Genomic DNA, 17,798 nt, shown 5'->3' with positions numbered 1-17,798 from the left:
TGTTGGCCAGGCTGGTCTTGAACTCAGGCGATCCGCCTGCCTCGGCCTCCCAAAGTGCTGGGATTACAGGTGTGAGCCACTGTGCCCAGCCCAGGGTTTGTGTTTTTAATCACTGCACTAAGATATCTACTGTATACTGTTAAAGAAATGAAAATTAGATTACAAAAACAACAGATTATTATGATTTCATATGCATCTGTGTATCTCAAAGTGGTGTTACTTAACACCTCTTTTATTGCCTTTGACATGTCTTTCAGTTTTTCTGAGAACTTTGTGGCTATATTCTGTCTGTACTGGAATAGATTCCTCACATTTTCCTCCTTTGACTTACTCATTCAAAGCAACAAGCAGTCAATCTTACTCGACTTCTTCAATTTACAAATATTTGTGGGGGGTACTTTCTATGTGCCCCAGTTCCAAGCTTGGTGTTTTTCAGATGAGACCATGTTTAAGAAATAGTTTCCTGCTGGTCATGAGCCTATAGGCTAGTGGGAGAGATGAAAACAAAATATGATAAACTGAACGCTATGCTTGCAACATAAGAAAGCGCTGTGGGAGCAGTGGTGGAGAGGCTGGGAATAAGCTTTAGAAGTGGAGACATGGGCTTCCTGGCCCTGTTCTGAAGCTGACCCATGCACCAGTCATGCTATAAACTAACACTGGGGACAATCTGTACATGGGGGGCTCTGAGGTCCCTTGGTCACTCTGGGGCCCCTGGTCATGGAGACTCTGCCTCTCCCCTCTCCAGAGACAATCCCCCAAGAATATCTCCTTTTAGATCAACATCCTCAGACAGGATCTAAAAATAAATAGGTCCACCACAGGGAGAATATATAGGGTGGTTTTCATCTAAGTTTATTAATCATTTGCTAGCTCCCAGTTAAGAATCAGACTTGCCCTTTTTAGAATCTTTTATTTTCAAGTTCTCTTTGGATACTAATCACGTTCTTCTTTTCTCCTACCCAACCCCGTTGTCCTTTACTTTACCAGATGCATATTCAGTCTTTCTAATCCATCCTTCCAAGTCAGTGCCTTCAGACTGATGATCAATTGTTTGCACTTCTTTGAACTCCCATTAATTTATCTTTATCAGGTGGGTATGAAGGTGTTGGGGAATAAAAGCAAAAGTAGAGGTGTGGTGTCACCAATGTCTCTTGTCTCACATATACCCTGCAATGACACCCATATGTATGATTAAAAGGGCTTTAAATGAATAGGGAGGAATGGAGGCTGTCTTTTGTACCAAGTTCATTCTGATTTACAAGCTATTATTAAAACTAGTGTTAAACATCTCTGTGCTGTCCAGTGCATTAGAACTAAACCAAGTTCTATCAATGAAAGATGCTCTTATTTCTCTAACCCTTTAGTTTATTTTTCAACTACAAACATAATCCATACCCACTGCAGTATAATTTAAATATACAGAAGGAGTAAAACAAATCCAGTCTTCCCCTCCTTCCTTCTCCTAAACTGAACAGTTTGGTGTATATCTTTCACACTTTCTTCCATGTATTTACAAGTTTTCAGAACCTGGAATTACACCAACCACAGCACTCTGCAACTAACTCTCTTCACCTAACATCAAATCATAGGCTTTCTTCTATGGCAGTACAGATAGGTACACCTTTTGCTTTCCAGCAGCTACATGTTTTTCCATTCTATCGGGCCTACTATAATTTATGGCATTATCTGATTCATATTTATTTGCAGATACATTGTGGTGAAAACTGAGGATTATAAGTAGAAAACTGTTTAAAATTTTTAAATCTTTTCTTTGTATTATTGCTGTTGTCACTAAGATGAATTTTTCTTTTTCTTTTTGTCAGCATTGATCCATCTCTTTCATGTGTTAGTTTTCCTCAACTTTCTAGTTTTCCTTGGTTGTGAGATTAGTCTCATAAGTGAGTTACCGCTAGTTAGTATAGGTAGCTGGTGTAAGTTTCCTTTTAGATTTGTAGAGATCCATTTCCCAGTAGCCTTCATCGTTAAGAGTGAGGGTTGGCCATGAGCCTTGGATTAGAAGGCAAGGAGTGTTAGACAAAGGAAGCCACTACAATTCCCTAAATAAGGAGGACTTACCATGTGGATGGAGAGTTCAATGTGCTTGTTTAATTGCTGGGCAGATGTGGCTCTCCTTCTGCCCACCCCACCCCCACCTTGCCATGTCTGTTATAAAGGTCAACTAAAGTGTCAAGCTTCACTGTACTTCTTACACCTCCCTACACACCTACTCTGTGCTCGCAAACCCTAAAGAGATCATACATTACATAGTGAGCTGTTCTCTTTCTTCCTGCAGTCAGAAAGCCACTGCCCTCTGTGCTCTCCATAGCAGAGAAAGTGGTATGAATGAGGCACAATTTGCTCAGTTATTCTAAATCTTTCCTTCAGTTAATTCCCCTGCTGTTTACCCTATTACAAATAAGGATTTTTAAGCCTGTTAATAAGAAGAAAATTCAATCAACAATATGTTGCCAGTTTTTACTTTTCAAGTTGACAAGAACAAAGATAAAATATGTAATGCTGACAAAAATGTAGGAAAATGAGCTTCTGCATCGAGTTTTTTGGAGAGTACACCGTGATGTGGAACATTTTTTTTCCTGGACAGTATGTTGGCATTATTTAATAATATTTTGTTGCATGAACTCTTTGGTTCTGAAACTTCACTTTTAGGAATTTCACTTACCAAAATATTTACACAAGTGCACAAATATAAATGTTCAATGATCATTATAGCTGCATTGTTTGTATTGAAAAATAGAAACAACTTAAACATCCACTATAGTAGGCCAAACAATGGCCCCCAGAGTTATTAGGTTCTAATTCCTGGAATCTGTGCATTTTACTTTCTATGGAGAAAAAAAAGGACGTTGTAGAAATAATTTCAGGATCTTGAGATGGGGAGATGACTTTGAATTATCTAAGTGGGACCTAAATGTAATCACAAGTATCCCTATAAGAAAAAGGCAAAGGGGGATTTGACACACGCAGTGGGAAGCTGGGACAGATAGATCTTTGAAGATGCTGACCTTGAAGACCGGACTGATGTAGCCACAAGCTGAGGAATGCTGACAGACATCAAAAGCTGGAAGAGGCAAGAAATGATTTCTTCCACAGAGCCTCTGGAGGAAGCATGGCTCTGCTGACACCTGGATTTCTGACCAGTAATACTGATTTGAGACTTCTGGCCTCCAGAACTGTGAAAGAATATATTTCTGTTGTTTTAAGGCATCTAATTTGTGCTAGTTTGTTATAGTCACCAAGCAAATACACTCATCAAAGGGAAATGGTTATGTAGATTATGTTGTGTTCACATATGGGAACTTAATAATGACAAAATATGGTATGTCTCTATATTTACATAGAAAATGTTCTCAGATACAATTTTCAGTTACATCATATTTATACCATAATCCCATTTATATAGAAGAGAAAAGTAAACCTATATGTGTGTACATATATGTAGGTAGGTACTTGTCTGGATATTATTTTCAAATGTGAGTGTAGTAGTTACCTACAGGAAAGGTGTAAGTTACAGGGAAAAGGAAGGAAAATTTTCACAGTATTGTATTATTTATGTATTTTGCAACATGCATATATTTCTATATTATATGTATCATATTTTTAAGGGAAAAATGTGGTAGGAGTTTTCCCCAAACTACATTTTTATAGACCCCAAATATCTACTTTCTTCGAATACTTACTCAATGTTTGTCTCCTTCACTAGACTTAAAGTTCCTTGAGAGTAAGAGCCTCACCTGTCTTGTTCCCTTTTGTCTACAGCACCTAATTCATTGCTGTCACATATTATACTCTCAAAAAATTTGTGTGAAATGAATGATGGGCTGTAACATCTATCAGCAGCAGCCAAAGGTGAGCATCCCCATGAACTGACAGCAAAGGCAGTCAGTACCTTAAGAAATGACAGCACCTGCCTTGTTTCTTCAGGGCTTCACCATCAAGAATATGACAGCAGCAGCAGCTTAAGCAGGAAAATACACCCAAATGTCTCACCTCTGTTTCCATCAGATAACTAGCTCACTGTCATAAGCGTGGAATATCCTGAGAGGGACCCAGCTGATGTGGCTCTGATTGCAACGTCGAGGATAGTCTTCTCCTTCAGAAGCAATATGGTGAATCAACGCTTGCAGACACAGGGCAAACCCAGAATGCTATTTGTACAAACAAGTATGGCTCCTCTCCTGCGGAAGTTTCCAGTGCAGATGCCAATGTCTTTGCCATCCATTTGCCCTTAAGGAAAAGGGCTTGCTGAACTCAGGCAAAGTAGGGAATTGAGCCTGTTGACTGCCTTGGATGCTTAGTGTCCCATATTCCCTGTGGCTAGCCTGGGCAGAGTCTGTGAGGGATTAGAGCATGAAGGCTATAGTGCATAATGAGTTTAAGGAAAAATTAGCCTGAAAAAAATCACTTAGCTCCAAATGTCTAGTGATATTTATAGACGTTGTGGGTTAAATTTCACTTCACTGACTTTGTCCTTTACATTGACAAGCTAGATAAGATGATATCGTTTTAAATAATCATTTGCGTTTAGGTATTTCTCTGGCAGTTTTGTATTACAGTTTAAAAATAGACTAGCCTATGTCTATGGCTCATGTTGGCTATGGTATTTTGAACTTGATTTCTGAGGCTGCTGACAGCTTTTGAAAGATTTAACAACTGGCAGCAAGAAAAACTTCCATAGAATCTCTTCTCTGAAATTTTTTCTGCTGGAAAAAAGGGCATCACTTAGCAGGTAATATATTGCAATGAAAATATGGTTATGAAATAATGGCTCATTAATATGATAAACCATAACATAACCTTTTCTATTAAATGTAAAAAGAAATTTCTTGAAATGAAGGCATTTTCCTTCCTGTGGCATATTTTTCCATAGTTGTTGATTTGGAAGAATTTTTTAAAATTATTATTCAAAACAGTCATTTTGATTTGCACAGGAGATAACAGTTGTTCATGACATTTTTATTTCTGCATAAACAGATTTCCATTCTGGCGAAGGTTAATACAGTAGGAATTTGTTTTTACTTTTGGATATACCGTGATACACTAGAGCACTTTGTTTTGTATGGAACCACTAATTTATCCTTTATGCCTTTACGATCTTGTCAGTGCCGCATGTCTCCCTTAGTTTTTCTAATCTAAAATAATCCCAGTGAAATCCTTTGATTGTCTGTTTGGACCTGCTCCATTCCTAAAGCAGGAATGTAATGGGCTTTATGGCACTTACTTGGGAGTAATTTATCCAGCAGAGTGACTATAGATACTTGTTTTAATAAGAATATGCTTTATGGTAAGTGGGTACTGCTATTTAATTAGCCAAAGGGAAAGTAGTTCATGATACAATCTGTCCCAATCATCTTGGACATTAAACAAAAAGTCAGGCTAAGTTATTTATGTGCATGCACTTTATTTGTAGTTGCTTTGAGCAAACCTCTTCTTTGAAACTTTATAGCATTTTCTGAGTGAGCTGAATTGTGGGAGGAGGAATAGGGGAAGAAAAGGACATGAGAGCATTCTATAAAATTTTTGAAAAAGAAACAGAAGCTTTACTTATTGCTATCAAGGTTGTGAATACAGGCATACCAAATGGAAAACAGGCAGGGAACTATGATTTATCCTCTGCTATTTGGTAGTTTGCATCTTTAGTGCATAGCTGATGGAAGAATGTTGCAGGATGTCAGTAAGACATTATGGGATTGTGTGTTCCTGTGTGTGTGTTTTCCTTGGATTTCCATTGCTTTCAGCAGCAACATGTTTCTGAAGATTCACAATTATAGTCCTATATTTTTATTATAAATAACTAAATTTAAGAAGTTCAATGCATATCCAATTATTTCAATACTTAAAGCAAAGTGTAAGCACGTGGATACATTTTAAGAAATCTTCCCTTCCTAATAATACTACAATGATGATATAATGGGGGTAAGTAATATGAATTTCTAATTGTCCAACAGTTTGGGCATGTAAGTAATATTAATATATTTATGGATGAACGGGGAAAAAAGAAAAAGTGAAAAAAAAATGAGACAATATCCCTAGGGTATTACAGCCCTGGTTATGGTCTGCTCAGTAATTACATATTTGTTCCCTTTCTTAGGCGTAAATGTCTCAGTCACTGACTATAAGTACAAAGGGCCCAGAAGCTGGAATCTGAAGACAAACATGGCTCCACTACATTTTACTCTCATTGCCTTGGGAAACATTACTTAAACCAGAAGAATCTATTGCCCTCTTTACTTCACAGTGCTACAGAGAGGATTACATGAGCCAATATTTGTGAGTGCCCTTTGTAAAGTGAATGTCTAGTGTAAGTCAGCACTTGCTTATAAAGCTCCTTAAGCATAAGATTTTGGTTATGACCATGTTTGCACATGCTTGCGCGGGACCTTCTATATGGTTGAGGCTTCCTAAGTGGAGTCTGGGTGAACCAGTCTTCTGTCCGTGCCCTTCTTGCATGGTGCACAGGCATTTTGCTCCTATTTCTTATACCTCTATTATTTTGTCTGTATTACATATCTTGCCTTTTTCAAAGTTACCATGAAAACTAAACTCAAACTAAAGGGCTTTAATTCATGCAGTTTGTGTCTGCCATCTAAGTAACAAAAGCACTATCTTTTCACAATTGACCTATCTCTCAGCAGTGGCACAAAAATGTGGTGCATGGACTAGAGTCCTAAGGAGTGCACTGTGGATGAAGGACTCTGAATGGCCATCCAGGTGGTCAGTGTTAAGTGCTACCCTCCCTACACTATTGTGTAATCTTTGTATAATTTCCATCTTACCCTCAGCTTTACTTTGCCATCAGTATGCTCTCTCTCCCTCTCCCTTCTGTTCACCTGGGAAATCTTTTAAGCTGCTAAACAAAAGCCCTAAGAATGGTTGCATATTAAGTTATTTTAGACAGCTTGGGGAGGTTATGAAAAGTTTTGGAGTCATTAGCATTTCAACAATTGACTGCCCCACTGTCCCCGTCTTTAGGAAACACAGGCAGTGCAGTCGGCCCATGAAGTGAAAGCCTGGGTGAGCCTGTGTTTAGTACTTTTAACGTAAGAAGACAGAAAAGGAAATACTAAAGACCGAACTTTCCTTCAACTCTGTGGTCTCACACATCCCTCAGTGACTTGGAAACTTTTCTGACATGAGACAGTGTGCAGAGCAAGATAACCACTCCCCTTCCTCCTCCTGAAGATGTGTAAACAGCTGGTGCATGCAATCCCTCTGGCTGGAGGGAAGTAAATGCAGACTGATGTTAAACAAATATAGGCCAGTATCAGGAACTCAGAAAATATTACATATACAATGTGACAAGGGGCCCTGCAGGGTTCATGATCATTGCAGGTATTAAGGGTCAAGAGTTGGGGTGTCAGAGCCAATAATTTTTTTTAAGGCTATGTATTTGTTTCTTGTTTGGAATTACGTTGGTTCTTTTGCTAGAGTTTTCTTAGCATGACATCACACAATTGTGAAGAATGTTCATCACTATAAAGCTATTATAATTCCTCATTTTTTTGTTGGCTTTAATTCTCAAATTTTATATACCTACAAGTCATGTTACTTTAATCACATCTTGAGAAATCAATGAGACGTCACTTTTTCCTTCAACCCATGACACTTACGTGAGCTCTGGATAGGAATAAAAGTGAGTGGGGATAAAAGCTTCTGTTAACTGTGCTTTTCTCCTAGCAGGCACATGGTGTTCCAAGTTCTTGGCTATTTCATAGGAATCTTGAATACACAATTATGAACTAATTATCAATGCCTGATTCATCAAGTAACACTCATGACATGAGTCTGAGTGGCACACATCTGACAGCAAGTGGAGTAAACTAAACACACTGTCCCTGTCCTCCAGAACTGTGTCAGCCTTGCTGATATTAAAGCTTGATAAGCCACAATCATCTTTGTCTTGTGACATGGTAGCTACTCAATCAATCAGTTGACAAAACTGAATGAGAAGTATAAAATAAAACAGAAAATCAAGCAAACATAAAGCATAATAGGAACAAAATAGAAGGGCCAATTTCTCTTTTATCATCAACTTTGTAATGCTGGAAGTTCTGCAGTCCTCAGGGTCTAAGAAAAGTGGAGTAGGCGTCTATCTCGGTATCAGGATTTATACTTATATTTACTATTATGGCATTGAATGGCTTACTTTTGTCTTTCTCACCAGACTCCAAGTTCCTGTGGGCAGATCTCACGTCTTATTTCTTCTTTTATCCCCACACATTCTACAACTTCTACAAGATAGATGCTCAATCATGGTTTCACAATGGATGAATATTAAATGAATGAACGAACACAGCTCAGTCAGGAGTAGAACTAATATGCAGTAAATCCTACTTGTATTTTTCACCTTAGTGAGGTCACTTCACACCCCAGATGGCAATCTTTCCTATATAAATAAGCTTAAAGAAAAGAAAACTGTGTTATAATCACTCTCAGAAGAAAGTTCAGCCAAAAATTGCCATATTAAGATGATTAGCTTGTATGTAACTGAGTATCTTAGGAATAATTCATGTCCTGTGCCAGTTGGTGAGCTTCTATTCTTCTTGCTTGCAGACCCTTATTAGAGATTTTCTAACATTTTTTAAAGGGAAAGGGTGAACTATAAATTATAGAGATTGAAAATGGTAATGATTCTATTTGTATTATTATTCATAATCATAACCCAATTCTTAAGGTTCTGTACCAAGGATTCACAATACATATGAATATATATGTACATATGCATATATACACACAATCTAAACTCTGTTCTAAATGACTTGGTAAAACATTTTGCTGTTTCTTTTTCTGGGAGGGCAAGCAAAATAAGTCATAAGTCTGTCTGAGAAGCTGTTAGGCACAATCTTTAAAAGCTTTAATTCTTTTCAAAGCATACTTGCATCAATTACTTCCTTCCTCTCATATCAGCATGGAAAGTAGACAGGACAGGTAGGGAGCATAACCTCCTTTTTTCTGAGAGAAAACTAAGGTTCATGAACCCATTCACTTGGTCCTCAGCAAATTCATATAGGGCACTAACTATGCATAAGCTACAGGAGTTGCTGGTTTTACAAAGTAAACATGGTTTCCCTTCGAGTAACTGACAGCCTATTTGAGATAGCATTGCCCTTGGAATCAGGTAACCAGGGTCTCTGCACTAGGCACTGAGCTTTAGAAGGCCCTACCTGCCCTCTCTGACTGCAATTCTCTCCATGGGGCAAGGAATCCATGGAGCCAAGGAGATATATATACCCAGACTTTGAGCAATCTATCTTCCCATCTCCCCCCACCTCTAGACCACACACTAGGTACCTGAGACTCAGAATTCCCCACCCAGTGGGGAAGCCCTACTTCCTGGGCTTGTGAAGCACCTCTTCCCCACTTCACCCTCCCAAGGACACACATTCACCATGCCAAGGGTTGAGAGAGAAGGTTGGAGAGAGCTCCAGGCAAATGTAGTAACAGGCCTGAGAAGAGGAGATAGAGAAGTCAGCAATTACAATGCTGCCTGTGGTGATATGGAAGTGAACAGGGAATGCTAGGGAAAGGCAGAAGGGACACCCAGCCCAAATGAGGCATGAAGAAGGAGAAAGAGATGGGAGCAAAGGCTGTTGAAAAAGAAGCTGAGCCTCGGAGGCTGGGTCAGAACTACCACATGAGGTTAGAAAAAGAAAGGAGGGCATTTTAGAAGAGTGAAAGAAAGGTGTACGCAAAGGAATGGTGGAGGATTAATGGAATTGCAAGTTCTTCTATGTGCTTGAAGAAATGAAAAAAGAGGGGTAGAAAATAAGTTGAAAGGGAGAGATGGACAATTAATGATATTTGTCACTATTCATTTTACTTTCTTATGGCGCTATGAACCTGATTTTATTTGGAAGTAGTGACTTCTCCCCATTTAATACCATTCGGTGGACTAATAATCAGGTGCCCTGCTTTCTCCTTGACTAGATTCAAGAGAAATGACAAAAAGACTGAGAATCTCTGAGGTCCTTGGGTTTCCAGAGGTATTCCTGCAAGGAACAGTCAAGCAGCATCAAACCTTCAGACCTTCTGAAACAGCCTGGTTCCTCCCAGCACTGGGTCTGGTTCTGCCGCCCTCCTTTCCAACATGTCACGTCAGTCATCCTCCCAACAAATTCAGTAGTTGGTTAAGCAAGCCATATACAGTGTTAGTTGACTGAAATCAAAGCTCTATAGCTAATACCAGAGGAAAGCAAAGTTCTGATTTTCATAAGGTTTTGAATGCTGTGCTATGGATTTTGGACTTTATTTTGAAGGCAATAAAGATTGTAATAAAGATAGTAGCATGAGTGAACTGGTTAAGAGATTTGCCAAAATGTCTAGCCATTCAACTTCGTAAGTATATGAAATTCTCCATAGAAGTATAATGTTAAATAAGTGGCCTTCAGTAAGGCAAAAACAAACAAACAAAAAAATAGATAGCTGCTCTTTCTATTTCTGTTACTATTAAAGAAAATGTAGCTTTCCAAATGACTTAATTTTACTCATGAATGAATGAATATTGAGTTAATAACACTCTCCATACTTTCCCTTTTTTATATATATATAACTTGAGATAATAATTGCTACTTAAAGTAGGATGTTTATAAATACATGGCAGTACTGTGTATGCTTTCTTCTTTGTGGTTTTTATATGCTTTTATACGTTCTGTGTATGAATGTTGAGGAGAACTTCTTTTAGAATTAGTTAGAATAAACTTGTTCATTCTGAAAGCATGTATTTAATGTGATTCATTTGGCCACCTTAACCAAAAAATTATTTTGTGTGTTTTAAAGGGGAAAAAGGATTGTCATATGTTTAGCGTCTGAATTAATGTAGTCTTTCATTGAGCAACTATTCATTAAGATCATCTAATGCAAGGTGCTACACCAGGCACATTATATGATGATTCATTCTATCAATAATTTCTTAAACATCCAGCGAGCAAGGAGACAATTGTACATGTGCATTGTTTTGCAATCACATTAACAATTCTAAAATTAGTCTTTTTGAATAAAATATCTTCAAACTTTTGAACAAACAAATATCCCAGTGATCTGGCAAATTCCCAGAGCTCATGTGTGACTGTGGGAGCTTTGTGTGTAACTGTGTGGTTTTTTTGTAAGTTGGAAGTCCACAAGATAAAAATAAGCCCTTGGTGCCCTCATGACTTTATTAGCTATTGTACTCTGAAGACAACAAGCCTACATGTTTTGAAATTTACAATTTCCTGGAGCATTTCTACAAACAGTTTTGACATAGTACAGAATACTTGATCAACTGTCACCCAAGGCAATTTGAAGAAAATACAGGAAATGGAGGGTCTATTCTGAACCCTGAAAATGCAAGGTCTTCTCTTTTGCCATGATGAAGAAAAATAAACCTTTCCCTTATAGAGAAGATCTATGGAACACTGATGTTGAAATTCCAAGCTCTGCATTACTAAGATTTCTGGACATCATCACAAAGCCTCTAAGCCATACTTGCAGCTCTTTGCAAAGCTTGCCAGAAGACGACTTTAGTGAGAACTGTAATTTTATGATCGTAGACATTACACCTGACACAATCTCTTGGTTAAAAATGAATTTAGAAAGATACAAGGACTCGATTAGCAAAGCAATGACGAGCTAGCAGCATTCCAGAAATCCTCACTTTATGATACTTTGACATTTATAGCTGTGTGACTTTAAAGAAGTTACCTAATCTTATTCAGTCTCAGCCATCTCATCTTTAAACAGAGCTAAGAATACATGCTTCTTAAGATTACTTGCACAATTTCATGTGATAAGGTATACAAAGTGCCAAATGAAATTCTAGGCATATACTAGGAGTTGAATAGATACTGTATTCTTTCTGCTCTTGTTAGTGCCTTATGTGATTTGCTCCCTGGAGAAGGTAAGACTGTTTGTCTAATAGCATTTATTTTACTAATAATAGAAATCCAAAGGTTGTCAATTATGGATGACCTACTTTGTCTCAATTTAATAACTGTATTATTTCTGTATTGCACATTTATGTGAAATAAATCTTACTATCTCCATTTTTGCAGGTGAAGACCCAGAGAGGACAGTTGACCTGACAAGGGACATATAGCTAGGAAATGAAGCTGCAAGTGATTCTAGGCCTGATTCCAATGTCCTTACTCTTTCTATTTATCCACACATATCAGTCAGGAGATTATGATTTAGACAAATGGCTGTTAAGAGTGGATACAACATCAAAAGTGCTTAAGACTTAAAGATGTTTTAATATCATCAGGGCATTCTTTCTTGCAGCTCTCACCTCTGTGAATGATAAACAACTTATTTCTTAATTTTCTTAAAATCCCTTGGTAAAAATAATCGACTTTAAATTGATATTTGCAAACACATGCATTTGAAATTTTTTCAGGAGTTAATTTTCCTATGACACCTCATTTGCTAATGCACAATACTGCCCCTATCAGCACAGAGTATTACAAGGCTTTCCAGTCAAATGGGAGCAAGCAGCTGGAGGGATTAAGGCTAGTATTTATACCTTAATTCCCTGGGCTGCAGTGTTAACCCAGAAATATCTCATATGAATATCACTTGGCTTCAGGGCACAGTCATACCAGGCATTCTCAGTTAATTTCACTATTTGATAAAGAGTCAAGAATGACTTAGCCCTGGTCCTTCCACAGGGATTTTTCTTCCAATTCATACTCATTGTTATGGGCTTGATAAGTTCTTCTCAATGATTATGATCCATTATACTTATATATTACTGTCAATAATTGTATATGATAATATATTCATGGATGCCCACCTGTGCCAAATGAGAAGGGTTGCAGGCTTATTTTCCCAGGTGATTTTTCTGAAAAGCTATTTTTTCTGCTTTAGAGTCAGCATGTGGATCAGTAAGCATGAAAGGCTCCTTTTTTCTCTTTTCTCTTCCTGTTCTGTTTCTACCTGCTTGGTGAGCGATGGTACCATAGTGTGAGTGGAGACCCTCTGCAATCTCAGCCCTGAGCAATTTGATACATTGTAACTCACCATTTTTCCATCTTAAAAGTCTTTCTGTACTAAATTATAAATGTCAATAGACTGTTAGGAGCAAAACACATCAATTTATGTTATTTTGTTTTCGAAGACTTTATAGGAGATTGCGATTGTTTTGGGGAGAGAAGGAAACAAAGAGGAGTATTGTTTTTCATTTTAATTTCATGTTAACCAATATTTTTCCTTTGGGTAAAATTAAAATATACTTTTTCCTGAATCTTGACCAAGATATATATTTTTTTTAACATCTGGCATTCTAGGGTATACATCCAACTTCTTCCAAGAGTCAGGCCAATCCCCACCATCATTCGTTAGCACTTGCTTATGATGAAAAATTCAAGCTCAGGAATAAATACTTTCTCCTTGCTTTTTCTCTCAAAGGAAGAAAAGTGAATTTTGTTCTATAAATCTGAGAAATGTATAAAGAAACCCAACCATTGGGTGAAATCCAATTGGTGATAATGTCATAAATCAACAGAAAGAAATGAAATAAATGATGAGGGTGTTAAATATTGGAGAGACTGACTAAATAAATTAATGAACGAAGTCTAGTAAGAACTGTGACAAGGTTCCATTAGTACATCAAAGAAACCAATGAGATCCCAGTCATGGCAAACAGTTATTCTGTTTCTGTTTCTGCTGAGCCATGATAATTATGCTAACCCTAAAATGAAAGGGCTATGAGAATGCAGTATTGGCTAAGAGTTGAAGCTTTGGAATGATTACTTCTTGAAAGCATAATCTCATTCTTTGAATATTCATGAAACAAAGAAATTGAACAACCAATTTTTTTAGTTGATTTTCATGCTCTTTTTGTCCAAATTGAGTTAGATAATTTTAAAAATACATGAACATATTGCACTTAAAATATTATAGAACATAATACAGTAAACTAAAGTCCCCTTTAATTTCAGAGGTAACCTTGTTCTGAGTTTGCGTGTATTCTTCCAATCCTTTTTTGTTCCCTAATCCCATGGATTTGCATTATGCCCTTTTGACTAAAAGTGTAAGTATAATTTTGGTAATATCATTGATTTTCAGGTGTGGCTTGTAGAATTGGTCTCATTACTTTAAAGTCACATCTTGTATAATTCATTTTTGTAATTCTGTTTAGTATTTCCTCAGGCCTTCCAATACTTAAAAAGAAACACACAACAGGGGAATAACTCCTGAGGCAGCACTCAGATGGCAGGAATTCTACAATCACTTATTAAATTGGCCTCCTAAATCCTGAGCGGGTTTAGTAAAATGGAATTTCAAAGAACTTCACGATATATTGAATACCATTTTACTTAAAAGAAAACTGGAGTTCAGAAAATGAGATCTACTGGGGCTTCTATGGGAAGTCTCCTTTTTCTTCTACCTTTCCTTACCTCCCTCTTCTCTTAACTCTCTTGAAAAAAAAAAAAAGGGGAAGAAGAGTCAATCATCGAACTAAAGAAATCATTCAGGCCTTTGTTCTTGCTTACTTGACTTTAGCCACTAGACTCCTTTGTGATGCAGCTTGGTCAGAGAGTTATTATTAGGATTTATAAGTAGTCCCATGATAGACTTAGATTTTTTAGGCGTTTATAACTGTCATAAAAATTTAGTGTGGCATGCAAGGTCTCAACCTGGCAGTAAATTTTGCAATAATACCTCTCCATATTGTAAGAAAGTTTTTTGCCCATCTTCAAGGGGTTGGGCAGAGGGTGGAACAGGACAAGAATTTTACCGTATTAAAAAAAATTTTGGGCCGGGCGCGGTGGCTCACGCCTGTAATCCCAGCACTTTGGGAGGCCGAGGCGGGTGGATCATGAGGTCAGGAGATCGAGACCATCCTGGCTAACAAGGTGAAACCCCGTCTCTACTAAAAATACAAAAAATTAGCCGGGCGCGGTGGCGGGCGCCTGTAGTCCCAGCTACTCGGGAGGCTGAGGCAGGAGAATGGCGTGAACCCGGGAAGCGGAGCTTGCAGTGAGCCGAGATTGCGCCACTGCAGTCCGCAGTCCGGCCTGGGCGACAGAGCGAGACTCCGTCTCAAAAAAAAAAAAAAAAATTTTGACACTGAGAGAAAGAAGGTCGCTTACTTTGCACAAAGTGTTGTAAGTACCACGAGAAATGGTACTATATACGAAAATCGATTAGAACACAGGACAGCTTCCGCATTTACCACCTATCTCACCTTTGGCAAATTATGTAACCTCCCTGGTCCAAAACTTTTTATTTGCACAATGGGAATAATAATAGTAACCACCTTATAAGTCGTTACCTTGTATTGGATCCTTTTTGGAATAGTGCCAGGCATATAAAAAAACTATGTTTGCTACTTAATATTTTCTTAGAGGGCTGGCTAAATCCTCTAAATTCTTGTCTAGACTTCATCACTGATAATGAAGTACTGTTCTGAAGTATCTAAAAAAAACATAAAATATAATTATTATAGTCACTGTGCATCACATGTAGTCAAACAGTGACTATGAGTCACTTACAGTTCTCTTCACAGTACCAGGACAAGAAGCAGAATTCTTTGGAATTACAGAAAGAGAAATGAAGAAAAATGTGAATCCCAGGTGAGATAGAGTATGCACACTGGAGGGAAAGGTGGCCTCTTTAAGAAAAATTATGGCTTTCTTCTTGGTTAACTTGAGTCTCAAGCAGATGTTAGCCTCAGATCTTATCTTCCAAAAGGTCTTATCATTTAGGATTAGGTATGTTTGACTCTGCAGAAAATCTAAAGATTCTTCTAAACAACTTTTCCTGAAGAAAAATCTGTTTAGTGGGTAGACAGAGCACTTTCCTTGTAGCCCCATAGCAGTCTGCTTCTTATAAGAAGCCGCCCTATGAGCTCTGTGACTGTTAACTGACATCCTCTTTTCTCAAGATCACATAAAATTTTTACCAATACATACAGGAAGAAAGAGGGTCAGAGCATAATGCTAATATTTTCCACATTTGAATGGTGCCTGTTTCCTTTTTTCTCTCTTCTAACCCAGTAATTTGCATTTGTATGCATGTGTGTGAATCTGTTTGTAGATGGTGCATTTATTTTTATAGTGAGATTACCAGGTGAGGGGAAAGAGAACTAAATATTGAGTACTTATTATGTTCTAGGCCTCCTAGGCCTGTTCTGGGGACATTACACATTATCTCTTTGATTCTCACAATAATTTTGAGAGATAAATATGATTATTCCAATTAAAAGAAGAGAAAACTGAGGTTCAGATACATTAAACTTGCAGAGCTAGCAATAAATGGAACCTACATTTGAGCATAGGCTTGACTTCAAAACTGATGATATTGCTCATCCTCAAGAACCAGTTTCTGAGGTGTGAATAGCTCCAGGAGTGCAGAAGTTGCTAAGTCATAGAAATAGCCATAGAAAATAGAAATAGGTAGAATTTGTTTCTAAGTCTCATGTTCATCTCCCTATTATCATCCTTCTCAGTTATCTACCCTGATCACCTCTTTTCTAATTCTGTTCTAAGCTCACCAAATCAAAATACAGTGTTTCTTCAAAACCTGATTGTCTAAGTCTCATACATCATGGCCATGCTTGGTCACTACAGCTAACCTGATGGATCCGTTTATACTAAATATATTGATCTCAAATAGCAGTGACATATTTTTGACCCATCCAGCCTACTCTGCTGCTTCCCAACACCATCAGAACATTTTAACAGTGAGCTTGCCAGAATGAATTTAAAACTGACATGAAGCAGAGGCAGAAAATTTTTTATGCATTTCCCCATAAACACGTTCAACAATAATCAGTGTGGTGCTATTTCCTCTTCATTTTTCCTGAGCCAATGACAAGTTTCTATTTGAAACTTTTTGAGGTTGAAGACTGACGACTTCTATGTTTAGCTCACATTTAGCACTTTTGTCCTTCTCCATTCTCTTCCCTTATTGTGAATTTGAGCACAGCCCTCAATCCCAGTAGATTATAAATATGTTAGTAGACTGGGTTTGGTTGTTTTATTGTCCTTTAGTCTTTACTTTCAGCATCAGTGTCCTGAATAAGTGAAGCACAGGGCAGACCTATGGTATTTCAAGGCTGAAATCCCTGAGTTCAAATTCTTGCTCTACTATTTATTAACAGTATAATCATAGGAAGATTATCAGCATCTTTGAGTTTCAATTTCCTGATCTGTAAAATAGAATGAATAATAACACATACCTCAAGAAGTTGTGAAGATTCAATGCAACAATTCATGTAAACACTTTAAACAGTATCTAGCACATAATCACCTATCGTTATTATTTCTGGAAAAACTTGAAATTGTTAAAGCTAGCAGCATCATACGAGTGGAACTGAGATTTGAGAAGTTTGAAGTAGAGTGTTGATCATCACATGAAATGTAGGTTAATTTTTCATCTCTAAATCTTAGCTCCAGCTTATTCAACTTGTAATCTAATTTCATTTCATGAAGAGAACTTATAAAAATCATATCAATTCTTGGCCTAAATTAATTAGTTACCATTCATGTAGTCACATTCACAAATAACTACTGCATACTTACTATTTACCCAAGTGTTTTATCAGAGAAATTAGTCTCAAAAGGTTAGTAAACATGATCAAAACTTGCATAAAATGCCTATCTTTCTATTTTTTAATTTTTAAAAATTGATGCCATGTAAATTGTGGTCAATAAGAGTTTTACATGATCTGATTACAAGAAATAAATTTATTCTTATAAGGCAGAGTGAATTTTCAGTCTATGATCAGCTTGGTGACACTGAAGTGTTTTTTACTATTTGGCAAAATTCAGCTCAAATCAATGTGATATAAACTATAG

General features: G+C 37.4%; 1 long non-coding RNA gene across 1 annotated transcript; it reads left to right on the top strand.

Annotated features, from left to right (window-relative positions):
• Positions 1 to 3,661: 3,661 nt before the first annotated feature.
• Positions 3,662 to 10,734, top strand: LINC01773 (long intergenic non-protein coding RNA 1773). Its single transcript, XR_001737677.2, has 3 exons — positions 3,662 to 4,750; positions 6,113 to 6,291; positions 9,949 to 10,734. It is a non-coding gene; the product is annotated as a long intergenic non-protein coding RNA 1773 (long non-coding RNA).
• The last annotated feature ends 7,064 nt before the right edge of the window (positions 10,735 to 17,798 follow it).

The sequence above is a fragment of the Homo sapiens genome, chromosome 1 (genome assembly GCF_000001405.40).
Source record: "Homo sapiens chromosome 1, GRCh38.p14 Primary Assembly".
Lineage (NCBI taxonomy): Eukaryota > Metazoa > Chordata > Mammalia > Primates > Hominidae > Homo > Homo sapiens.
This window is presented reverse-complemented; position numbering and strand designations above follow the sequence as displayed.